At 55.6% G+C, this 21,289-nt stretch overlaps 3 protein-coding genes and 1 long non-coding RNA gene across 18 annotated transcripts, besides 15 other annotated features; 1 reads left to right on the top strand and 3 right to left on the bottom strand.

Annotated features, from left to right (window-relative positions):
• RASSF1 (Ras association domain family member 1) lies at window positions 266–11,314 on the bottom strand. 7 transcript variants are annotated; one of them, NM_007182.5, is made up of 6 exons: window positions 11,034–11,314; window positions 8,383–8,489; window positions 2,528–2,632; window positions 2,037–2,334; window positions 1,812–1,927; window positions 266–1,205 (listed from the first exon to the last, which is right to left on the bottom strand). In NM_007182.5, the coding sequence occupies exons 1-6, from the start codon at window positions 11,281–11,283 to the stop codon at window positions 1,059–1,061; spliced, it is 1,023 nt and encodes a 340-aa protein (NP_009113.3). In that variant the 5' UTR covers window positions 11,284–11,314; the 3' UTR covers window positions 266–1,058. The 7 variants fall into 7 exon arrangements, with proteins under 7 accessions (NP_009113.3, NP_733832.1, XP_047303328.1 ...); NM_170714.2 differs by having other exon boundaries at window positions 8,383–8,501; XM_047447372.1 differs by lacking the exon at window positions 11,034–11,314 and adding an exon at window positions 9,572–9,684.
• Window positions 7,393–7,702: a silencer, noted in NCBI's record as "silent region_14393". NCBI's record gives its function as "represses an Ori minimal core promoter by ATAC-STARR-seq in GM12878 lymphoblastoid cells {active_cell/tissue: GM12878}" and the evidence as "EXISTENCE:reporter gene assay evidence [ECO:0000049][PMID:35858748]".
• Window positions 7,773–7,952: a silencer, noted in NCBI's record as "silent region_14394". NCBI's record gives its function as "represses an Ori minimal core promoter by ATAC-STARR-seq in GM12878 lymphoblastoid cells {active_cell/tissue: GM12878}" and the evidence as "EXISTENCE:reporter gene assay evidence [ECO:0000049][PMID:35858748]".
• On the top strand, window positions 7,989–8,778 carry RASSF1-AS1 (RASSF1 antisense RNA 1). Its single transcript, NR_109831.1, has one exon. It is a non-coding gene; the product is annotated as an RASSF1 antisense RNA 1 (long non-coding RNA).
• Window positions 8,024–8,595: an enhancer, noted in NCBI's record as "H3K27ac-H3K4me1 hESC enhancer chr3:50374977-50375548 (GRCh37/hg19 assembly coordinates)". NCBI's record gives its function as "activates a minimal SCP1, AML or CMV promoter by ChIP-STARR-seq in naive H9 embryonic stem cells {active_cell/tissue: H9 hESC(naive)}" and the evidence as "EXISTENCE:reporter gene assay evidence [ECO:0000049][PMID:30033119]".
• Window positions 8,024–8,682: a biological region, named in NCBI's record as "H3K27ac-H3K4me1 hESC enhancer GRCh37_chr3:50374977-50375548".
• Window positions 8,423–8,682: an enhancer, noted in NCBI's record as "active region_19902". NCBI's record gives its function as "activates an Ori minimal core promoter by ATAC-STARR-seq in GM12878 lymphoblastoid cells {active_cell/tissue: GM12878}" and the evidence as "EXISTENCE:reporter gene assay evidence [ECO:0000049][PMID:35858748]".
• Window positions 8,763–8,852: an enhancer, noted in NCBI's record as "active region_19903". NCBI's record gives its function as "activates an Ori minimal core promoter by ATAC-STARR-seq in GM12878 lymphoblastoid cells {active_cell/tissue: GM12878}" and the evidence as "EXISTENCE:reporter gene assay evidence [ECO:0000049][PMID:35858748]".
• Window positions 10,419–11,242: an enhancer, noted in NCBI's record as "H3K27ac-H3K4me1 hESC enhancer chr3:50377372-50378195 (GRCh37/hg19 assembly coordinates)". NCBI's record gives its function as "activates a minimal SCP1, AML or CMV promoter by ChIP-STARR-seq in naive H9 embryonic stem cells {active_cell/tissue: H9 hESC(naive)}" and the evidence as "EXISTENCE:reporter gene assay evidence [ECO:0000049][PMID:30033119]".
• Window positions 10,419–12,065: a biological region, named in NCBI's record as "H3K27ac-H3K4me1 hESC enhancers GRCh37_chr3:50377372-50378195 and GRCh37_chr3:50378196-50379018".
• Window positions 11,054–11,573: a silencer, noted in NCBI's record as "silent region_14395". NCBI's record gives its function as "represses an Ori minimal core promoter by ATAC-STARR-seq in GM12878 lymphoblastoid cells {active_cell/tissue: GM12878}" and the evidence as "EXISTENCE:reporter gene assay evidence [ECO:0000049][PMID:35858748]".
• Window positions 11,243–12,065: an enhancer, noted in NCBI's record as "H3K27ac-H3K4me1 hESC enhancer chr3:50378196-50379018 (GRCh37/hg19 assembly coordinates)". NCBI's record gives its function as "activates a minimal SCP1, AML or CMV promoter by ChIP-STARR-seq in naive H9 embryonic stem cells {active_cell/tissue: H9 hESC(naive)}" and the evidence as "EXISTENCE:reporter gene assay evidence [ECO:0000049][PMID:30033119]".
• Window positions 11,590–16,210, bottom strand: ZMYND10 (zinc finger MYND-type containing 10). 3 transcript variants are annotated; one of them, NM_015896.4, is made up of 12 exons: window positions 15,966–16,210; window positions 15,602–15,710; window positions 14,212–14,328; window positions 14,041–14,094; window positions 13,785–13,922; window positions 13,596–13,684; window positions 13,396–13,496; window positions 12,875–13,047; window positions 12,493–12,618; window positions 12,288–12,409; window positions 12,052–12,177; window positions 11,590–11,963 (listed from the first exon to the last, which is right to left on the bottom strand). In NM_015896.4, exons 1-12 carry the CDS (start codon window positions 16,055–16,057, stop codon window positions 11,888–11,890), a joined length of 1,323 nt encoding a protein of 440 aa, NP_056980.2. In that variant the 5' UTR covers window positions 16,058–16,210; the 3' UTR covers window positions 11,590–11,887. The 3 variants fall into 3 exon arrangements, with proteins under 3 accessions (NP_056980.2, XP_005265273.1, NP_001295308.1); XM_005265216.4 differs by lacking the exon at window positions 15,602–15,710; NM_001308379.2 differs by lacking the exon at window positions 13,396–13,496 and having other exon boundaries at window positions 12,875–13,133.
• Window positions 13,211–13,793: an enhancer, noted in NCBI's record as "H3K4me1 hESC enhancer chr3:50380164-50380746 (GRCh37/hg19 assembly coordinates)". NCBI's record gives its function as "activates a minimal SCP1, AML or CMV promoter by ChIP-STARR-seq in naive H9 embryonic stem cells {active_cell/tissue: H9 hESC(naive)}" and the evidence as "EXISTENCE:reporter gene assay evidence [ECO:0000049][PMID:30033119]".
• Window positions 15,521–16,071: an enhancer, noted in NCBI's record as "H3K4me1 hESC enhancer chr3:50382474-50383024 (GRCh37/hg19 assembly coordinates)". NCBI's record gives its function as "activates a minimal SCP1, AML or CMV promoter by ChIP-STARR-seq in naive H9 embryonic stem cells {active_cell/tissue: H9 hESC(naive)}" and the evidence as "EXISTENCE:reporter gene assay evidence [ECO:0000049][PMID:30033119]".
• Window positions 16,072–16,622: an enhancer, noted in NCBI's record as "H3K4me1 hESC enhancer chr3:50383025-50383575 (GRCh37/hg19 assembly coordinates)". NCBI's record gives its function as "activates a minimal SCP1, AML or CMV promoter by ChIP-STARR-seq in naive H9 embryonic stem cells {active_cell/tissue: H9 hESC(naive)}" and the evidence as "EXISTENCE:reporter gene assay evidence [ECO:0000049][PMID:30033119]".
• Window positions 16,156–16,235: a silencer, noted in NCBI's record as "silent region_14396". NCBI's record gives its function as "represses an Ori minimal core promoter by ATAC-STARR-seq in GM12878 lymphoblastoid cells {active_cell/tissue: GM12878}" and the evidence as "EXISTENCE:reporter gene assay evidence [ECO:0000049][PMID:35858748]".
• Window positions 16,316–16,505: an enhancer, noted in NCBI's record as "active region_19904". NCBI's record gives its function as "activates an Ori minimal core promoter by ATAC-STARR-seq in GM12878 lymphoblastoid cells {active_cell/tissue: GM12878}" and the evidence as "EXISTENCE:reporter gene assay evidence [ECO:0000049][PMID:35858748]".
• On the bottom strand, window positions 17,808–21,253 carry NPRL2 (NPR2 like, GATOR1 complex subunit). Of its 7 annotated transcripts, none has more exons than NM_006545.5 (11): window positions 21,053–21,253; window positions 20,409–20,500; window positions 20,143–20,311; window positions 19,864–19,972; window positions 19,352–19,488; window positions 19,163–19,260; window positions 19,005–19,041; window positions 18,795–18,888; window positions 18,602–18,719; window positions 18,237–18,379; window positions 17,808–18,151 (listed from the first exon to the last, which is right to left on the bottom strand). In NM_006545.5, the coding sequence occupies exons 1-11, from the start codon at window positions 21,128–21,130 to the stop codon at window positions 18,084–18,086; spliced, it is 1,143 nt and encodes a 380-aa protein (NP_006536.3). In that variant the 5' UTR covers window positions 21,131–21,253; the 3' UTR covers window positions 17,808–18,083. The 7 variants fall into 7 exon arrangements, with proteins under 7 accessions (NP_006536.3, XP_047303266.1, XP_011531590.1 ...); XM_047447310.1 differs by having other exon boundaries at window positions 20,800–21,253; XM_011533288.4 differs by having other exon boundaries at window positions 20,143–20,306; window positions 20,409–21,253.

The following is a 21,289-nucleotide window of genomic DNA, read 5'->3' on the forward strand; positions in this document are numbered from 1 at the left end:
GTATGCATACTACATCTTCACAAATTGGTCCATGGTGACTTTGCAAGACACCTGGGAGCCTGTCCATCACCCTTGGCAACTTCTGGCACCATGAGGGGCAACTGCAGCTCTGCGCCTATAATAATAAAGAGTCCAGGCTGGGCAGGGTGGCTCACACCTGTAATCCCAACACTTTGGGAGGCCAAGTTGGGAGGATCCTGGGCAACACAGAGAGACTCATGTCTCTACAAAAACTTTATATGTATAAAAGATTCCAACAGCAGGAGGATCTTGAAATCTTTATTGAGCCAATTCTCTCAGGCCCCAGGCCCTGATGATGACTGTCACCCCAACCCCTTTCCCCACAGGAGGCATTCAGCTGAGGCCACCACACATTACATACATTCACGCACTTCATAAAAAACACCTGAGGGAGAGACCCTGGCTTTGATTAGCAAATAAGGTATGAACCTGGGCCAGTGCCCACATTCACACAGACCCTGGCCCAGGGACATCCTCCTCATATGAAGCATTAAGGCACATGCTGTACTGTGAGCCAGCACTCCCTGACCTCAGGGTGTGTGAGGAGTTGGCACTGTAGAGAGAAACCAAGACTCTTCCTCAATGCCTGCCTTATTCTGAGCACCCACCCTTAGCTCTGATAAGGATATCCTGAGACCACATTCAAGATCCAAAACCTTTCCTCATAGATGAGGGCCGTCACCCCTGCAAACATGACCCTGTTCTGTTTGCAGGGTCTCCAAGATTTTCACTTCTGAGACAAAAATTGAGGAGACTTCTGTCTGCACCACTCCTGCTGCAGGCCTGGAGCAGCTTCTCAGGGCAGCCCTGGCCCACTAAGGCCCAGTAATGAGGGCAGAGGGGTGCAGAGCCATACCTGGCTACACCCACAGGTGGACACAGGGAGCAAGCTACTTCGCTGTTCTCTGGGCTCATTCCCCCAGCACAGGAGGGCCTCCATGCACACTCATTCCACAGGCCCCACTGGCCCTGTCACACTCACACGGCACGCACTTGGCGCTGCCTGCTGTCTGCCTTCCACCTGGGGGTACAAGAGGTCACCCAAGGGGGCAGGCGTGCAGGGCCTCTTGGATCTTCTGGCGGCAATAGGAGTACTTCTGCAGGATCTGGCGGAGGTGCTCCTCCTCCTCCCGCTGCAGGATACGTAGGAAGTTATGTAGTTCAGGCATGCTGAAGGCGTCCCACTGCAAGGGGCAAAAGGGGAGTGTACAGGCTGCAGAAGGGATGGCCAAGCCAGCAGACCCTCCCCAGAGAAGACTAGCACCTCATGTTCACACAAGCTAGGACTGGGCTTTCTGATGTCAGGCTCTTGGCTGAATGATCTCTGGTAGGATCCCTGACAGCAGTTTGTATGGAAGATGGGCCCTACAAAACGGTCACCTTACTGAGACAACCAAGTCAGATGTTCCCCAATTACCTGTGGACAGGTCAGGCATATTCTGAGTCTAATTTCACTCCACAGGCCTAATACCTTGGAGCCAGAAAGCTTCCAGGTAAAAAGTCTGAAGGGGGCCTCCTCATGTCATTAGATGGACTCCTGCATCTCCAGAAGATTTTCCACACCAGGAAAGATCAAAGCACCAAGGCAATTCTTCCTGGCTTCTTGGGACAACCCTAGGCTTTGGCATGAGTGGTCTGGAAGCCTTTGCTTTAGTTACAATGCCTATACACTCCTGGAACTGTTTTGCAGGGCTTGTCTTCCAGCACAATTCCTCCTCCAAGCCTTACTGTAGCTACAGCCCATCAGTCCTGTCTAGTGACAACCAAGAAACTAAGAACTATGTACTCACGTTCACCTCCCCAGAGTCATTTTCCTTCAGGACAAAGCTCAGGGCCTTGTCACTGGGCCCTGCCAGGAGCCGCAGCCGCAGGGGCTGCTCATCATCCAACAGCTTCCGCAAGTACACTGTGAAGGGGAAGTAATGATCAGAGACAGGGCCAGCTGCTCAGCCCCTGCATGCTCAGGTGCATGCGTATATACCCTCACATAGGGCAGGGTGGGGTGGGAAGCCCACCTTGGCCGTGACGCTCAGCGCGCTCAAAGAGTGCAAACTTGCGGGGGTCATCCACCACCAAGAACTTTCGCAGCAGGGCCTCAATGACTTCACGTGCCCTTGTGCGTGACAGCACATGCAGGTGCTTGACAGCATCCTTGGGCAGGTAAAAGGAAGTGCGGCGCCTGACACTTGTGCCCCGTCCTGGGCCCCGCCGGGCATCCTGCAAGGAGGGTGGCTTCTTGCTGGAGGGCACAGAGACAGGGCGCACCAGCTTCAGCTGAACCTTGATGAAGCCTGTGTAAGAACCGTCCTTGTTCTAAAGAAATAGAGAAACCAAACCTTGATAATAGGTTCCAGGTGAGATGTCAGTCTACTTGGGGCTAGGCTGGGTATGCACAAATTACTGCTTGCGCCCACCCAAGATAACCTCAGTTGTGACCCTCTGAGTATCAGGCACATAGCTGGGTACCTGCTCCTCCCCACGCCCCCTTCCTGAGCAGTCAACTCACCAAGCTCATGAAGAGGTTGCTGTTGATCTGGGCATTGTACTCCTTGATCTTCTGCTCAATCTCAGCTTGAGAAAGGTCAGGTGTCTCCCACTCCACAGGCTCGTCCTGCAAGATGGGCCAGCATGGACACAGGGCCCTTGAGGAACCCAGGGCTTCTCTGAAAAATGGCCTCTGGGGCAGTCTTTGGAAACTGACTGCCTTTGGCCCCCTGTCCCTGATGTACATATACATAGCTGGTGCCCACCCTGAACCCACCACTGCTCCTGGTTTTGCATGCTCTGGGTGGATAAGGGAAAGACAGAATCATTTGGCTTCTCTCTGCTGCCTGCCTAGGGCCTCAGCACTGAATGTAGCCTTAAGGATACCACAGAAGCAGGGGCAACTGAAGGCACATGGCCAGGGGCCAGGAACAGCTGAGGGACTCTGAAGAGGGACTCTCATTTAAAGTAAAATCAGGCTGGGTGTGGTGGCTCACATCTGCAATCCCAGCATTTTGGGAGGCTAAGGTAGGAGGATCACTTGATCCTCAGGAGTTTGAGACCAGCTTGGGCAACATAGCAAGACCTCATCTCTACTAAAAAAAGAAAAAAAAAAATTAGCCAGGTGTGGTGGTGTGCCTGTAGTCCCAACTGTTCAGGAGGCTGAGGTGGGAGGATCGTTTGAGCCCGGGAGATTGCAGCTACAGTAAGCTATTATCGTGTCACTGCACTCCAGCCTGGGGAACTGAGTGAGACCCTGCTTCAAAACACAAAAAACAAAAACAGGCTGGGCACGTTGGCTCACGCCTGTAATTCTAGCACTTTGGGAGGCCGAGGCGGGTGGATCACCTGAGGTCAGGAGTTTGAGACCAGCCTGACCAACATGGAGAAACCCCGTCTCTACTAAAAATACAAAATTAGCCAGGCGTGGTGGCACATGCCTGTAATCCCAGCTACTTAGGAGGCTGAGGCAGGAGAATTGCTCAAACTCGGGAGGTGGAGGTTGCAGTGAACTGAGATCGTGCCATCGCACTCCAGCCTGGGCAACAAGAGCGAAACTCGGTCTCAAAAAAAAAAAAAATCAGTAAAATCACACCTCAATTGCACATTCTGATCACAGCACCCTAGTTGAGTTGGAGTGAGGGTTTGTCCTGGAGAAGGCAGCCCATTTTTCTCCTCTGCCCCGGCACGGGGCCATGACCCACTGCAGGGTGAGAGGAGTGGAGAGTGGTGCACATCAGTAGTCCAGCCACCAGTGGACAGAGTAGTACTTGGAGCCAGTTCTCCATGTCTCACACATAGTGAGAAAAATCACTGTGACATGATGTTTAACCTTGACCCAAGCTGCATAAAAGGCAGCTTTAGGCCAGGCTCCAATCTGCCAGAGGTACACAGGCAGCTTCCTGGTGGGTTTCTGCACCTGCCTGTGCTGTCTGGAGATTTGGCCCAAAGATTTTTTTTTTTTTTGAGACGAAGCCTCACTCTGTCGCCCAGGCTGTAGTGCAGTGGCTGGATCTTGGCTCACTGCAAGTTCTGCCTCCTGGGTTCAAGCGATTCTCCTGCCTCAGACTCCCGAGTAGCTGGGACTACAGGCGCGTGCCACAACAACACCCGGCTAATTTTTGTATTTTTAGTAGAGATGGGATTTCACCACATTGGCCAGGTTGGTCTTGAACTCCTGACCTCAAGTGATCCGCCTGCCTTCACCTCCCAAAGTGCTGGGATTACAGGCGTGAACCATCGTACCCGACCCAGAGATTTTTAACTCGACCACTCACTCCCCACCTCATCTAGGGACTGGATTCTTGCCGGAAGGGTGGAGTGTGGGACAGGGCAGCCAGGGCTCTGAACCGACTTTCTTCTCCCAGACTCCCTTGGCCCCACTGCATCAGCCTTACTTCCTGTTGACGTCAGATAGGCCCTAGTTAGAATGCGAGTGTCACAGACACAGCTAAGCTCAGCGCTGACCAATACTTTGTCCCAGAAGAATTCCCACAAGGTTTCCTGTAGAATGATCTTGTGCCTAGCCCAGGAGAGCCAGGGTTCTCCCTGACTCCGCCCTGGAGTCCCCTTAAGCACTTAAACCATCTGATGGGGACAAATGGAGAGGACAGATGAGGGAGCAGGGTGGAGCGTTTTAGCAGAATGCTCCTTACCCAGAACCCGCTGCTATTCTGCAGCCAGCAAGGATGTGGGGCTAAGAACTAAGGCCAGGGCCTTACAGGAAAAAGGTAAAGGGGGAGGGGTGGGAATTTAAGCTCATTTTCTTCCCCAAGTATCCAAAGGTCTCCTGGATGGAGAAGAGCACTGGAGTAAAAACCCCAGTACAAACCTTACTGGGGACAGTGGGCAACCTTGTCGGGTTAGTAAAAACAAATGGTGTGGGCCCTGGAAAATGAGGGCTGGAGGCTGTGAATAAAGCAGTGGATGTGTTTGTTCAGTACACCAACGGGAAGAAGTACCCAGATGGGAGGAGTACTAGGGGCAGGAGAAATGCCAGACAGACTCTAGTGCCAGGGCAAGAAGGAAGATCATTTTGTTTGCAGAACAGGGAGGGCACAGGGATGGTGCTAACTTGTTCTTGTGATGGCTCTGAGCTCCTACCTAACAATGAGAAAGCTTGCTCCTTCTTCCCTTCCTGGATGACCCAGGAGCCCTGGGCTGGGATGCAGTGACCTCATTTCCAGCCCCTTCCCTTCTGGTGATGAACCTCCCTATCTTCACTCAGAAAACAGACTTGGATTAGAGGCACTGCACAGCCCTTCCAGGATTCTAAAGGAGGAAGAGTTTCTTTTTCTGTTTCCAAAGCTGCCTGCTGGAAGAGGATTTCAACAGCCATCCCAGTCGGATGCACAGCAGGACCATGGAATTTCCCTTCTGCACCATAGGGACCCACCCTCCACTCTACCACTGTCCATAAAAACTGATGGTTTTTTTTTTGAGACAGAGTCTCGCTCTGTTTTCCAGGCTGGAGTGCAGTGGTGCGATCTTGGCTCATTGCAATCTCTGCCTCCTGGGTTCAAGCAATTCTCTGCTTCAGCCTCCCAAGTAGCTGGGATTACAGGTGCCTGCCACCACAACTGGCTAATTTTTTGTATTTTTAGTCGAGACGGGGTTTCACCATTTTGGCCAGGCTGGTCTTGAACTCCTGACCTCATGATCCACCCACCTCGGCTTTCCAAAGTGCTGGGATTAAAGGTGTGAGCCACTGCACCTGGCCTAAAACTGATGTTTTTTTCTTTTTTTTTAACATATAACTTGGGACTTCTCAGCCTCCTATTCTTTCTTTTTTTTTTTTTTTTTTTTTGAGACAGAGTCTTGCTCTCTCATCCAGGCTGGAATGCAGTGGCCCAGTCTCGACTCACTGCAACCTCTGTCTTCTGGGTTCAAGTGATACTCCTGCCTCAGCCTCCCCAGTAGCTGGGATTACAGGCACACACCACCATGGCCAGATAATTTTTTTGTATTTTCAGTACAGACGGGGTTTTGCTATGTTGGCCTGGCAGGTCTCGAACTCTTGGCCTCAAGTGATCTGCCTGCCTTGGCCTCCCAAAATGCTGAGATTACAGGCATGAGTCACCAAGCCCAGCCTTCTTTCTTTTTTTTGAGACAGAGCCTCACCCTGTCACCCAGGTTGGAGTGCAGTGGCACGATCTTGGCTCACTGCAACCTTTGCCTCCCGGTTGAAGTGATTCAGTCTCCCAAGTAGCTGGGACTACAGTCACACACCACCATGCCCGGCTAATTTTTGTATGTTTAGTAGAGATAGGGTTTCACCATGTTGGCCAGGCTGACCTCGAATTCCTGATTGCAAATGATCCACCTGCCTTGGCCTCCCAAAGCATTGGCATTAGAGGTGTGAGCCACCGTACTTGGCTTCCTTTTCTATTTTTGAGACAGAGTCTCACTCTGTCACTCAGGCTGGAGTGCAGTGGCACGATCTTGGCTCACTGCAACCTCTGCCTCCCAGGTTCAAGTGATCCTTCTGCCTCACCCTCCCAAGTAGCTGGGATTACAGGTGTGCACCTCCGTGGCTAGCCCTCCTTTTCAATTGGTTAGTGTCTTGTGGTTTTCCCACCTTTCCACAGTGGAAAATGGCTCAGGACTGACTGACATGAAGACAAGCCCAGGGGTCTACACTCAACTCAACCCTTGCACCCAAGCTCTGGGCTAAGATTTTGGCGTGCTGAGCACCACCCATTTTGTAAGGAATTTTGTAAAATTTTATCTGAAGCATCACTCACAACTCCACTTTCTTTACTTAAATAAGGATTTCCGCCCCATTTCTGCCAGGCATACTGAGCTTCACAGTCCCTGTTTCTTTTTCCTGGTGCCTAGGCCTGGTTCTCTGAGCCTGGTGGTCACACCAATGGCATCTGGCACACAGTTCTCCGATAATGGGGATACCTAGGAGGTTCCGAGACACCTTACAGTCCTGGGTTAGTAACCTGGATCTCTTTTTCCACCTCTTTAGGCATTTTATAATCTAGCTTTCCCCCTTCCTGTGGGTAAAGTGCTCCTGAATGCTTATGGTCCAAAACAAGACTTCTTTCCTATCTATTCCCAAATCTTTCTCCAGATCCACCCTAGAGGAAGGGAACAGAATCTTCCACATTCCAGCAGCTGGTGACAGGCCAGAACAGGGAAGAGGTGAGGGCTCAGCTGGCTCCATACAGGAGTGCAGATGGAGGAGCAGGATCTCTCTCTGCCTCTCAAGTTTTCCTAAACATACTTCTCAATTCCTGGCGAGGACTCTTCCCTCTCCACATCCTCCCCTAGTCTCCCCAAGGAGGGAGCAGGAGCATTCGAACGCGGAAATCGAGGTGCTAGTCCAAACTGCTCGGTCGGCTTTAGTCATAGCTGGATAATGCCCGGCTCAGGTCTACCACAAGCCATACAGCTGCTTTTTCCGTGTTCAACCTGTCTGTGACAGAAACCAAGGGGGCCCCGGCACCCAGCATCTAGGCGGTGGAATCGGGGTCTTACGCACGGTTCCGCGGGCAGGTCCCCGGCCAGGACCCGCGGGGAGCCACGTAGCCAGGAGGGTGGGGCTGCCCACCGACCCAGGACGCGGCAACGGACCGGGGAGGGCGGAGCTCCAGCGACCGCTTCCCCTCCCGCCCGCCGGCACCCCCTGGCTCCCACCTGGTCCCGGCGCGGCCTGCGAGCTAGCGAGGTTCGCGCGGTGAAGTACTGCTCGAGCTCCGAGTCCGAGTCCTCTTGGCTGCAGTAGCCACTGCTCGTCGTGCTGCTCCAGGTCATTTCGAAAGAAGGCGCCTCCGCCTCGCCCATAGCCGTACCCGCCCGTCCCCCAGTCCTGCGCGTCCGTAGCCGCCAACCACCGCCCCGGTCGCGTGCGTGCGTGTACGCGTGTCAGTGTGCGCGTGCGCCCGGGCCAGAGCCGCGCCGCAACCGTTAAGACTGAAACGTAGATCGCCGGGATCTAGCTCTTGTCTCATTGGGGCAGGAACGCCGGGGCGGGGACACGCACGCTTCGCCCCCAGGAATGACCTCATCGCTCCGGAGCTCCACTCACAGACCCCACCTACCACAGGGAACGGGGGCGGGTGCCAGCGTCCGGGCAAGCGCACAAGAGTGGCCTCTGGCCGGAGGCGAGGGCGGGAAGGTGCGGGAAGTGCGCGTGCGCGGAGCCTGGGTCAGCCTGGGCCCGGGTCCGCTTGCAGCGGGTGGAGTACTTGCGGAGCCGGCAATCCAGGCTCCCCTCCCAGCCCCCGCGCAGAATTAGCCTCTCTGTGCCGCCGGGAAATCGGCAATTAGAACGCTCCTTGCGCGCGGCACCCAGGCAGCCCTCGAGAATGCCTGCACTGTGGCCTGCCCATCCTCGCCCTTCCCATACGCCCTCGGCCCCGCGCTCACCACGTTCGTGTCCCGCTCCACCGCGGGTTCCCAGCCCAGGTCCCGGGGCCCGCAACAGTCCAGGCAGACGAGCGCGCGGCAGCGGTAGTGGCAGGTGAACTTGCAATCTGCAGAGAGGCCTGGCGGTGAGGCGGAGGAGCTCCAGGTCGGGGAAATGTCCCGGAGATTGAAGGGAAGCCCCAGGGAGAGGGCCGCTGCTCGCCAGGCTCCGCAGGCCCGACCTATCTCAGTGGGTTACCTCACACTGCTACGCGGACTCTAATGTTGGCCACCTGGGCGTCTGGAAACCGGCCGGAAGGCCACAGGCAGAGAGGCCTGCTCAACAGTTGGATCTCTATCGCCTAGCACAGAACTTCCCCTTTCCTCATTGGCAATTAAAAAAACAACAACAAAAAACTGCGTCTTGCTTTTGTCACCCAGGCTGGAGTGCAATGGCGCGATTTCGGCTCACCGCAACCTCCGCCTCCTGGGTTCAAGCGATTCTTCTGCCTCAGCCTCCTGAGTACCTAGGATTACAGGCGCCCGCCACCATGCCCAGCTAATTTTTGTATTTTTAGTAGAGACGGGGTTTCACCATGTTAGCCAGGCTGGTCTCAAACTCCTGATCTCAGGTGATCCACCCGCCTCGGCCTTCCAAAGTGCTGGGACTACAGGCTTGAGCCACCGCACCCGGCCCTTCACTGGGAACGTATATGGAATACATCTGCCCATTTACTTGAAGGAAAAACTAAACACCTTTAACCTACGTCTGCCCTGTGGTTGTCACCTGTCTCTACTCCCCTCAGACCAAGACACTGGTCTCTATACACTCTAATCCTTCGCCTTCACTCTCCCCTCTACCCACTCCAGCCAGGCTTGCCTCTTCCTCCAGGAAACTGCCCGGGACAGGGTCCTCAGCGATCTGTGTACTACCAAATGGAATCCAGTGTTCCATTCTCCATTCTCACCCCCTCAGCATCATTTGAAGCTTGCTCCCTTTGACTCCCAGGGGCTACACTCTCCCAGTTTTCCTCCTACCCCCTGCAGCTCCTGCTCAGCTCCTTTGCAGATTCTGACTCAACTTCCATATCTCACGATGAAGTCTGGGCTCAGTCCTGATCACTGGCCTGGTCTGTCTACATTCATCTGCCCCAGATCCACGGCTGAAACACTGACCTAAACCCTCAGACTAGATCCTCCGTGCCAGTACCTTCACTAGGATGTCTAAAAGACGTTTCAAGTGAACATGGCCAAAATTTAATTCCCTTTTCTTCAGCCTCACTGCTACACTTGCCCAGCTTCCTCTTTGCAGCAAAAATGGCCACTAGGCTCCCAGTTACTGGAGACAAAAGCCCAAACTTATCTTTGATTTCTCCCTTGTCTCTACCTCTGATAAACATGCCCAAATCATCCTGCTTCTTATCTCCATGGCTACTTTATTTCTCTTTGAGAACGCTGCAATGTCCCAGCCTTGTTCTTTTTTTTTTTTTTTTTTTTTTTGAGACAGAGTCTCACTCTGTCGCCAAGGCTGGAGGGCAGTGGCACGATCTCGGCTCACTGCAACCTCCGCCTCCTGTGTTCAAGCAATTCTCCCACCTCAGCCTCCCGAGTAGCTGGGATTACAGGCACCCGCCACTACGCCTGGCTCATTTTTTTTTATTTTTTAGTAGACATGAGGTTTCACCATGTTGGCCAGGCTGGTCTTGAACTCCTGACCTCAGGTGATCCACCCGCCTCCGCCTTCCGAAGTGCTGGGATTACAGGCATGAGCCACCGCGCTCGGCCCCTTGTTCATTCTTTGCATTCTGTCACAACTTTGTGCTCCCCCCAGCTGAATTTGTGATGTCCTCTTGTACCGGATGAGAGGGTCTCCATGCACACACAGACCTGGGACACTATCCATCCACAAGTTCCTAAATAGGCCAGAGCAGTGATGCTCAACCCAGACTCCATGTTACAATAATTTGGGGAGTTTTTAAAATTTACTGATGCCTAGGGTCCACTCCCAGCAGTTGATTCAACAGGTCTGCGGTGGGATCCAGGCTAGCGGGGAGGACTGTAAAAGCACCCCTGGTGATTCCAGCTGGTGTCTACCCAGGGGAGAGCAACCTTTGCTTGCTGGCGATTCCCAGGGGTGCAGAAGGACTGCTGGGTGTGTGGCTGCGTGCATATTTTAGCATCTGATTCACTGGGTCAGAAAAGGGTGTTTGCTAAATAAAGACTCAACAAAACTCCTGCTTGCAGGGGGCCCACCAAAGGTTCTAAATTTTTCCAGGCTCCCTCCCATAGGTGGTAATTTCCCTTCACCCTAAAGGTTCTGGAGGGGGTCATGAGTGTTTGAGAAGAGGCAAGCCTGGGAAGATGGACTCCGAGGACAGTAGGCACAAACCCTTTCTCAAGAAGGGCCAAGGCATTTTAAAGATAAGAAACTTAAAATCAGCGTATTTTTACATATAAGCAGCCACCTCTGCTCATCTGTGGCCCAGATACGAGTGGAGTGCGACAAGGGATAAACCATTTTCGCGCACTCTTCAGCGATGGGGCGAAAGTAACGGACCTAGTCCTCGGGAGCTGTCCCCGCCGACCCCCTCTGCCGCGACTTGACCCGCGGCGACTGCGCTGCCCCTTGGCTGCCCCTTCCGCTCTCGTAGGCGCGCGGGGCCACTACTCACGCGCGCACTGCAGGCCTTTGCGCACGACGCCCCAGATGAAGTCGCCACAGAGGTCGCACCACGTGTGCGTGGCGGGCCCCGCGGGCTGGAAGCGGTGGCCACGGCCAGGGACCAGCTGCCGTGTGGGGTTGCACGCGGTGCCCCGCGCGATGCGCAGCGCGTTGGCACGCTCCAGCCGGGTGCGGCCCTTCCCAGCGCGCCCAGCGGGTGCCAGCTCCCGCAGCTCAATGAGCTCAGGCTCCCCCGACATGGCCCGGTTGGGCCCGTGCTTCGCTGGCTTTGGGCGCTAGCAAGCGCGGGCCGGGCGGGGCCACAGGGCGGGCCCCGACTTCAGCGCCTCCCCCAGGATCCAGACTGGGCGGCGGGAAGGAGCTGAGGAGAGCCGCGCAATGGAAACCTGGGTGCAGGGACTGTGGGGCCCGAAGGCGGGGCTGGGCGCGCTCTCGCAGAGCCCCCCCCGCCTTGCCCTTCCTTCCCTCCTTCGTCCCCTCCTCACACCCCACCCCGGACGGCCACAACGACGGCGACCGCAAAGCACCACGCGGAGATACCCGTGTTTCTGGAGGCCAGCTTTACTGTGCTAGAGGAAGAGGGTCCCCACATCCGGCCCTGGCCCTCCTGGTCCGGTTTGCTGAAGCAACACACTTGGCCTACCCACTGGGTGGGGCAGGAAGTCTCGAGCCTTCACTTGGGGTGAGGAGGAGGGAGATCGGTCAGCAGCTTTACCGCCCGCTCTGCTCTCCACTGCGGAGACTGGGGCTCCGGCAGAGGCTGGACCGTGATCTTGAGGTTCAGGGGTGCATTCTGGGTGGATTCCCTTGGCATGGGTGGTCGGCCCTCAGCAACTGCAGCCCTCATTTGGCTCTGTCACCCTGGGCTGCCAGGACACAAGTCTTTCCATGCTTTTCCCAGTGCTTGACTTGGCACTCCCTGCAGGCAGGTGGGTATTGAGGATGGCAATGCATGTGGGGGATGTGGGAGTAGGGCTTAGAGGTCCAAGGTTCTAGGATACCCTCACCTGCAGCAATACCACTCATTCTGGCATCGTGAGCAGCGCTTAGAAGCCTCTGCACTGCAGTAAGCACAGCGGGGCCGCTCTGGAGCCACTGCCTCTAGCACATCCAGCCTGTAGGTCTCAGCCCACCTGGGGGAAAGTCAGGAAGGTCTGACTGGCCCTGGAAGGTGGGGGCACCCCACCCACATCCATGCCTCCTGCATCCCCTCCACCCTCCCTGCCATTTCCACAGGCCTTACCTTCGCGCCTGCAGCCGCAGGTCCTGCTCTGAGGGGCTGAACACATGCTGGAGCTGGTGCTTGGCAATTGCCTGCCACTTGCCTCTGTTTTCTCGCTCCAGCCGCTCCCAGATTTCTGGGATCTAGGAGAGAGAAGTGGAGAGTGGCAGGAAGGTGCTGGTAAAGTGGGACAGTGGTCCTGAGCAGCTAACTTTCCAGTGCCTACCTGTTCCAACACCAGGTCCTTCTTAGGAGGCTGGGTTTCAGTTAGGGTCAGATGGGCCAGGAAACTCTGCAAGTGGGCCAGGTTGGGCAGCTGGTCCAGCAGTGTGTCTGTGAGGAAGGCCCGAAGCTGCAAGGGTGTCCAGTGGAGGCCAGTGTGATGCAGGTGCTGGCCAGGGGGCCAAGGAAAAGGAAGGGGCTGGGTTGGGCTGAGAATGCCTGTGGGGGCCCATGTCCCACTAGCTGGTGTGTCACCTGAGGCCCAAGGACTGAAAAGAGCACTGGGGTTGAGGTGGGTGGGCAAAGATAAACAGCAGGGACGCAGTCGGGGTAGGATGGGGAGGGCGGTACTGGGGCTGTGGGGGCTGGTGCGGAGGGAGTCTGACCTTGAGTAGCCGTCCCTTGGCAAAACTTGTGAGGCAGTAGCGCGCCTGAGCCTCAGGGCTTAGCAGCAGGTTGTACAGGGCGATCCACACTTGCCCGTCCAACTTGCTCAGCTTTTGCTGCTCTGAGGGGGCCACAGTATGCCAACGGCTGCCCTCGAACTGCTGCAGCTTGCCTGGGGAGAGGAACCAGCACACTGGGTGCAGACGTTGAATTCTCTTCAAGTGAGCCAGCTGTGGGGGCTGGGAGACTGACCACTGCCTGGGAATGGGAGAACCTGGGCTGCAGGACTTGCCCAGGCTATAGGGCTGCTGACCCCAGAGCAGGGTGAGCCTCAGTAGTGGACACATGGGCCTGGCCTGCTGCAGAGCTCAGGTCTAGGCCAACCTTGGCTGAGGCATCCTGGTATCCTCAGTGGGCTTGGGGACAGGGTTTGTCTTCGTGTGTGCAAGCTGCCCCCCTCTATCAAAAAGATACCCTGAAGCAGTAGCCTGGGGCTTAGGCTGGTGGGGGAGGACCCTACCTCCTTCCCGCCGGCTCCAGGGACTATGCTCCAGCAGTTCCACCAGGAGGCAGGGCAGGTTGTGTGTGCTAAGCATACGGCTCAAGGTGCTGAGAGAGAGGCTAGGGGCAGGGACGTTGTGAAGGAGGTGAGTAGAGGCAGGCTACAGGCCCGGTCTTCCAGCCCTCCACAGTAGGCCCAGGCCCAGTCGGACTGCTCACCTGTCCACACAGTCTGTGATGTAGCGTAGTACTGAGAGGGCCTTCAGTGCAATCTCAAATTCCATCAGCTCTGCCTGCTTCTGCAGCTCCTGGGAGGTCACACAGTGTTCACGCTGGGCCACCCTCACCTGCGCAGGCCTTGGGGAACCCAGACCTAGGCTTTCACAACCCTAGGTAACCTCAACCCACCTGCATGGGGTTGCTGTCCTGGGATCCCTCCCCCTCAGGGGGGCCACCACAGCCACTCTGGGCCACCAGCAGGGTCAGTTTGCGGTGGCAATAGTCTACCAAGTCCAAGACAGTGTCTTCTGCTGACTCACACACCTCCTGGGAAAAGGAGGAGGGAAACTTTCTGTGTCTGATGCCTTCCCCACACAGACACAATCTCCCTTCCTGCCAGGCCCTGACCCGGAACTGTGGCCCATGGGCAGAGATAGTCCCTCACCTTGTGGAAGAACACTGTCTCCAAGAGGTTGATGATGGAGGCCTCGTGGTGCACCTGTCAGATAAAGAGAAGGACAGGGCCTGAGGAAGGGATAGGGGCTACCAGCTCTCCTCCCCGGTCCAGAGCCCTCTGAAGGAGTGAGAAGAGGTATGAACCAGGGGCCCAGCTCACCACCATGTAGATGGGGAAGGTGTTCTGGGGCTTGAAGTCCTCCACCCTGCAGAACACAGGGAACACCTTCTGCTTCCACATCTCCACTGCGATCAGCTCCTCCACCAGTGTTGGGACCTTTGAAGGGTAGGGTAAAGGACAGGGATGAGATGGGCCTACCTTTGCCTGGCAACCCTCCCATCCCCGGCTCAGCTCAACCCTGATATCCCCAAACACTGCTGGGCCCCTAAACTATTCCAGACCCATGAGTATCCTTCCTGACTTCTCTCTTGCACCTTGGACCTTCATTACCAGCTGCTCCCAACACCTCTGTGGATGTCCCTCATGCTTATGTGACTGGCTCCTGCCCAGTTCCCAGACTGCCTTGCCCTGCCTGCACCTGCACCCTTATCCTCTGCCCGCCCATTCAGGCATCCCTTTCAAGCCAGCCCTTCTCCTCATGCCCTCCCTCTAGTCCCTGTCTGTGGTCCTCCAAAGCTCTTGTGTGCCTTGGCCTCACTCCTACTCAGGACCCTTCACAGTGCCCTGTTCCTATCCTATCCCCTAGTATGAGTTCCATCTTTCTTTTGCAAAGGACCTTTCTTTTTTTTTTTTTTTTTTTTGAGACGGAGTTTCACTCTTGTCACCCAGGCTGGAGTGCAGTGGCATGATCTTGGCTCTCTGTAACCTCTGCCTCCCAGGTTCAAGCGATTCTCCTGCCTCAGCCTCCCGAGTAGCTGGGATTACAGGTGTGCACCACCATGCTCTGCAAATTTTTGTATTTTTAGTAGAGGTGGGGTTTCACCATGTTGGCCAGGCTGGCCTTGAACTCCTGACCTCAGATGATCCACCCGTCTTGGCCTCCCAAAATGCTGGGATAACAGGCATGAGCTACCATGCCCGGCTTTTTTTTTTTTTTTTTTGGTCAATTGATATCTCAGGTCATCTGCTGGTGACACTCCCTGGTCCATGTTCCAGCCAGGCATCTCCCTGGTTTCTAACTTCCCCCTTTCATGTTGGGAAGGCTGCTTCCTTCCATGCCGAAGTTCCACCTCCAGTTAGGTTATCTCCCCTCCCTCCCGCCCTCCCCAACCCCTCCCCACCCCTTCCCCACCACCAGCCTTACAGTCAATTCACAGATGCCTTTAGCATTTGGGCCTTCCCCTTGAAGCCTAAGCTGTTCTAGGACCTACAGCTTTCTCCCTAATCAACTCATGCCCTGCACCCAGCCTGGTGTGCCAGAGTCCTGTCCAATAGGGATACAAAATGAAACATGTAACACATTCCTCTTTGTCCTTCAGGGAGAACAGGTGTACCAGGCCAGAGGGGAAGGGCACACAGGGGACTCCGGAGGGGTAGAGTAGGTGAGGTATGGGGGAAGGCAGGAACCCTGCCTGTGACCTCGGGGTACCTTCCCATGGGTGACCAGCAGCTCCTGAATGGGCTCGCCCTGGCTGACTGTGGCATCGAGGATGGCTTGCATGTTCAGCTTCTCCAGGTTCTCATGCTGCTGGTTCCACCTGCCTCAGAGGGTAAGTGCATGTGCGTCCACGTGTGTGCATTAGGAGTGGGGATGGGGGCTGGATCCTACTGAAGCCTAACCTGATCCTGAGGGGACACAGGGGGCTCAGGAGCAGTAATACTCCTGTCTCGGAACGCTCTGCTCCCCCATTTGGGAGCCCCTCCACACTGGGCAGCCCCTCCCCCGAGTCAGGCCCCAGCTCCCCGACTCAAGGACAATGACTCCGGGACTCCGCCTGACCCGGGTGCCTCACCCTTCGGAGCCCATCTCGCGTAGCGGGAAGCTGCGCAGACCCCGCACCAGCACTTCAGCTTCCCCGGGCAGCAGCAGTTCCAGGTCTCCCATATCGAGGCCGGGGTCCGGCGGATCCTGGGCAGCAGCCGGGGTGGGGATGCTGTCACATTCGGGGACGACGGACCCCGACGGTGCCAAAGTCTGGGACAGGACAGTTGCGGGACGGTTGGGGAGCGTCAGTTCTCGCAGCCATGGAAACGGGTTAGCCGCGCCTGCGCAGTGCGGCCTGGGCCCCGCCCCTGGAGGTGGCTCGCGCCTAAATCCGGGCGGGTCTCTAGCCCGCCTCGCCTACGCGACTGCCAATCGCCATAGTATTTGGATTCCCAGCGCTTTCTCGGGCTGTGGCCCACGAGTCTCTCCTGAGCTCCAGATCCTTGTGGTCTGGACTCTGTCCTCAGACGCCAAGTCCGCCTGCACAGGGATGGGGGTAACCCCGACCCCAACAGCCCCTCCTGCGGCTGTGGCATCTTGACCTACCCGCTGCTCTTCCTCCTCCTTATGGCTTCTTGGTTCCTCTATTTCTCGCGTCCCGGCTCCACTAGTTGGCTCCTGAAATACTGCCAGGGCGCACGACTTCTCTCCATCCTCCCTATGTCCAGACTGTCATCACCTGTCATGGGTGAACTGCGGCAGCCTTTTCTGTAGACCTACTTCCACGCTTGATCCTCATGGACAGCCCGGAGCCTTAAAAGTGTATATCAGGCCGGGCGCGGTGGCTGACACCTGTAATCTCAGCACTTTGGGAGGCCGAGGCAGGCGGATCACTTGAGGTCAGGAGTTTGAGACCAGCCTGGGCAACATGGTGAAACCCTGTCTCTACTAAAAGTACAAAAATTAGACAGGTGTGGTAGCACACACCTGTAGTCCCAGCTACATGGGAGACTGAGGCAGGAGAATCGCTTGAGCACAGGAGGTGGAGTTTGCAGTGAGGCAAGATTGCACCACCGCACTCCAGCCTGGACAACAAAGGGAGACCGTCTCAAAAAAAAAAAAAAAGCATATAGACATTACTCCCTTGCGTGAGAGGGGCTCTGTGGCTACTTCTGGCCCTCAAAATGTTAGGTGGGATGCCGCTTACTAGCAGCTCTGCAAGATCTACTTCTTGTCCTCTCCTGTACCTCGGGACTTGGATTCTTTCCTCTCCTCCTTGCTTCCCTGAACCTCCCTCATACATTCCAAAGAGGTTTTTGCCTCAGAGTTTTGCACTTTGCCTGGAATACTTTTCCTTCAGGGCTCAGTTTACACCTCAGCATGGCCTTTCTTGGCCATTTAATCCAGAGCAGTCCCTGCCTCCAACCCAACTCACTCTTGATCACATCTTTTTTTGAAATTGAGTCTCCTGTCACCTAGGCTGGAGTGCAGTGGCATGATCTTGGCTCACTGCAACCTCTGCCTCCCAGGTTCAAGTGATTCTCCTGCCTCAGCTTCCTGAGTAGCTGGGATTACAGGTGTGCACCACCACACCTGGCTAATTTTTTGTATTTTTTTTTAGTGGAGATGGGGTTTCACTATGTTGGCCAGGCTGTTTTTGAACATCTGACCTCAGGTGATCTGCCCGCTTCAGCCTCCCAAAGTGCTGGGATTATAGGCATGAGCCACCGCGCCTGGCTACATCTGCTTCTTTCTAGGTTTATTTATTATTATTATTATTATTGAGATGGGGTCTTGCTCTGTCACCCAGGCTGGGGTGCAGTGATGGGATCACAGCTAAATGTAGCCTCCAACTCGTGGCCTCAAATGATCCCCCCACTTCAGCCTCCTGAGTAGCTGGGGCTACAGGTGAGTCACCGCATCAGGACGATTTTTTTTTTTTTTTTTTTTTTTTTTTGTAATTAACCGGCACTTTTATTTGTCGATTGTCGGTCCTGCCCACCAGATGGCGATCTAGCCCACGGCTCGTGGCTATTTCATTCACTGCTGGGTCTCCCACGGCTGGCCCAGAAACAGCACTCAATAAAGGCTGTTTGAAATGGATGTCTTTATTTACAGAACTAAGAGTCAACCTCTAGACAGTATGACAAGCCTCCTAGTAGGAGGGACTACCCACAGCAATGTGTCCATCCAGTCACTACCAGCCTCACTTCCAGCAGATGATGATGTTGGGGTCATTTTCAAGCCGCTCATCCAGCTCATGGTAGCTCATGCCTGGGTGGGGTGGTGGAGGAGAGGTCAGTGGCCTTGGCCTGGCCACCCTGCCCTGAACCCACCCTGACTGCCCGCCTGCCTCCACCTGTCTTGCAGCAGATCTCGTCATAGCTGTGGCAGCCTGTATAAAGCCGGGCAGGGTGGCTCTGCTCTTCCCGAGTCACCCGCACAGGATACTTCTGTAGTCGCCTGATGAGGTTCTTCATAAGCCCGAACTGGATCAGCTTCCTAGGGTGAGGATCAGAGGACGGGGTGACGCCCTGGCCAGGCCTTCTTTCAGGCAGGCCAACCCTTTCCTGTAGTCTCCCTTCAATTTTGTCTCTGTAGCCCATCATCTCCAGGAAGCCTGCTTGGATTGGCAGTGCCCCATGATCCAGGGCTCCTGAGAGACATAAAGGGTCTAGCTTCCCTCAGGTAACTCCCAAATGCCCCAGCAAATTCTCCTCTGACCGTTCATCAACATGCTGCAGCTGCTGGGGGTGGCGGCCAATGAGGTCTCGCACGGTAGTGCCAGGGCTCAGGCTGCAGTATAGCTGGAACACATCCCGGAGACTGGCCCTCTTGTGCCCTGTGGGTGCCAGGGATCAGCTCATCATGTGGCCCTGCCCTCCCCAAGATGGCTTCCCCCAGAACCCACCACTACCTTGCTTGGTCACGTAGGATAGACATGCCTCTTGCAGGGACTTGTCATCTACCAGGTCCTGGACCTTGGGCGTTGGGCAGTATACATTGGAGTACTAGAGGGTAGCAGAAGGCATAGGGGCCTGAGTGAGGGGCTTGGGAAGCTGACACAGCCCTGGTCTGGTCCAGCCACATGATCCACTCTCCACTTAACCAAACCCAACTCACCTACCTGGAGGATGGACACCAGTGTCACAACGCCGTAGTACCTGAGAGAGAGAGCTGTGCTCAGCTTCTGAGGACCATGCCTTCCCAACCCTCACACCCAGGGCCCCTGAGGTCTTCCCTGGCTGGTGACCTTGTCCCAGGTATGACTGTAGGCCCACTCACAGCAGGTTCTGGATAGCAATGCGCACCAGGTTGAGCTCCACATCTGCCTCTGCTGAAATCTTCTGGATGTGGCGGAACCCATCAATGTAGGGCAGGATCTGGGCAGAGTGGGACAAGGTCAGAAGAAACAGGATGAGGCCAGGGCTGTGGCCAGCCCCAGGTGATGATACCCAGGGAGGGATGGCATACTTGTTGTGTAGTGAGGTCCCACTGTGAGTTGAAGAAATCCTCCTTGTCTTTGGTAAAGACAGGTACATCATACTCCTGGGCCACCGGAGGGTCTGGCCGCTGCTCAATCACCTTCAAGTGGATGGTGTTGGACTCATCTGCAGGGGGCCCCATCCATATCCTCAGTGCCACTTCTTCCAAGAGGTCCTCAATTACCATCCAGGCCTCCCAGCATCCCTTGGGGCAAGCAGGTGCCTCTGGGTAGGGCTAATCTTTCTCTTTTTATGGAGTGAGAAACGGAGGCCCACAAAGGGGAAGGAATTGCCCAAGGGGCAGAGCTGGAGAGCTCTGCTTTCCCCCTACCCCCAGTCCCAGCTCCATCATGCATTGGACCCTGGACATGGGCACCTCAGCCCATGGCTATTTCCTGCCCACCAATGTGTTCATGAGTCTTGCCCTTCTCCCTGACTAGCTGGGTTCACTTTCCCATCTCTCCTCTACCCCTCTGCTGTCCTTGCAGAGGCTGGCCATACCAATGGGCAGAGTGCACCGGCCTGAGGCATTTAGCTCCTCCAGCAAGATGGTCATGATGGGCACCAACTTCTGCTTGCTCTCCTCCATGGACACGAAGCTGCTCTCTAGCTAGACAGAGCATGGAAAGCATGGTGGGCACATCCCAGGACCCCTGGCTGGTTGGCTGCCCTGAGTCCTGAGCTGGTTTGCAGGGTCCCAGGTTTGGGGGACTTTGGAGACATGGGAACACCTTCCCCAACTCTGCCTGTCGGTAAACCCAAGCCCATCTCATTGCAGACCTCTAGTGTGGTCAGATAGCCAGCCAGCTTTTTAACAATGGGCTCGAGGGCGCAGGTCTTGGCCTGGGCATCACACACGAAGCCCAGGTTGAAGAGGAGAGCATTGCGGCTGTACTTCTTGTGTTCGATGCACACAGGACAGCCGATCAGCTTCTTTTCCATAGCTGTGCTGGATAATTGGAACACAGTCAGGCCCCCAAGCCTGTCCCTTCCTCCTCCTGGGACAACCCCTGCCACCCACCGCTCACCCCGAGCTAGGGTCTCACACAGTGATAAGCTTGTTCTGCAGCTCTGGCTTGGTGATGATGTACACTTGGACTGTGTCAAACAGCTCTCGGGAGATGAAGTCTTCAGGGACCTGGGGAGGGGAGTGGCAATGGGCCCCTCAGTGGACATCTGTACTGGGTGTAGTACAAATGGTGACCTCCTCATGCCCCCCAAGCCCAAGTCCTCTTCTCCAGCGTTCCCCTCTCTCCCATCCACTCAGGCCTATTACTTCTTTCTGTTTCCAAACATACGCTATGATCTCACCTCCTTCCTGGCTTCTGCATATGCTGTTCCCTCTACCTGGAACACTTTCTCCTGCCTTACCTAAACTTCCTATGCATCATTTACTCTTCACTCAGTTCAGGGATACTCATGGGTCACCCAACTCACCTTCTGTGGGACCTGGAACCCCCCAACCGGATCCCTACAGCCCGATATCCTACAAACACTGCCAATGTGACGTATGTCTTCCCTGCCACATTGGGAGCCGGGGGCCTGGGTCTGACTATCCTCTAGCCTCACAGTTGTCTGCGAATGAAGCAGCATGCCTGCGTGCAGCACGGGAAACTACTGCCTTCAGGCAGCCAGTTGAGCTCTCGAGAACGTCCCTCTTCCCGCCCAGTCCCGCGAGCCCGGGTGGCACCTGATAGGTGATCTTGGGTCCCAGCGTGGGGTGGAACTCGCTGAAGAATATGCATTCGATGCGGCAGCCGCTGCCCATGGCAATAACCGGGCCCAGGCCCGTAGCTCCTCGTTCCTCGCGCAGAGGCGTCCCCACCTCCTGTGAACACTTGTCAGAGACAGCCTCGAGGCCTGTGTCGCTGGGGCACGCAAGCTTGCCAATCCCTCTGCCCAATGGCGCCTGCGCAGCGCGACTCAG

The sequence above is a fragment of the Homo sapiens genome, chromosome 3 (genome assembly GCF_000001405.40).
Source record: "Homo sapiens chromosome 3, GRCh38.p14 Primary Assembly".
Lineage (NCBI taxonomy): Eukaryota > Metazoa > Chordata > Mammalia > Primates > Hominidae > Homo > Homo sapiens.

Excerpts from the sequence above, each read along its gene's own strand:
- RASSF1 (NM_170714.2), bottom strand. The coding sequence starts at position 11,283 with ATGTCGGGGGAGCCTGAGCTCATTGAGCTGCGGGAGCTGGCACCCGCT. Across the intron at positions 8,502-11,033 it reads CAAAGGCCTGCAGTGCGCGC|GCCTCTCTGCAGATTGCAAG; the intron begins GTGAGTAGTGGC and ends CCTCACCGCCAG. Across the intron at positions 1,928-2,036 it reads CGCTGAGCGTCACGGCCAAG|TGTACTTGCGGAAGCTGTTG; the intron begins GTGGGCTTCCCA and ends TCCCCTTCACAG.
- ZMYND10 (NM_015896.4), bottom strand. The coding sequence starts at position 16,057 with ATGGGAGACCTGGAACTGCTGCTGCCCGGGGAAGCTGAAGTGCTGGTG. Across the intron at positions 15,711-15,965 it reads CGCGAGATGGGCTCCGAAGG|GTGGAACCAGCAGCATGAGA; the intron begins GTGAGGCACCCG and ends CCTCTGAGGCAG. Across the intron at positions 12,410-12,492 it reads AGGACCTGGTGTTGGAACAG|ATCCCAGAAATCTGGGAGCG; the intron begins GTAGGCACTGGA and ends TCTCTCTCCTAG.
- NPRL2 (XM_047447310.1), bottom strand. The coding sequence starts at position 20,955 with ATGCTGCTTCATTCGCAGACAACTGTGAGGCTAGAGGATAGTCAGACC. Across the intron at positions 20,312-20,408 it reads CAGAACAAGCTTATCACTGT|CACAGCTATGGAAAAGAAGC; the intron begins GTGAGACCCTAG and ends CCAATTATCCAG. Across the intron at positions 18,889-19,004 it reads CACTGGTGTCCATCCTCCAG|TACTCCAATGTATACTGCCC; the intron begins GTAGGTGAGTTG and ends GCTACCCTCTAG.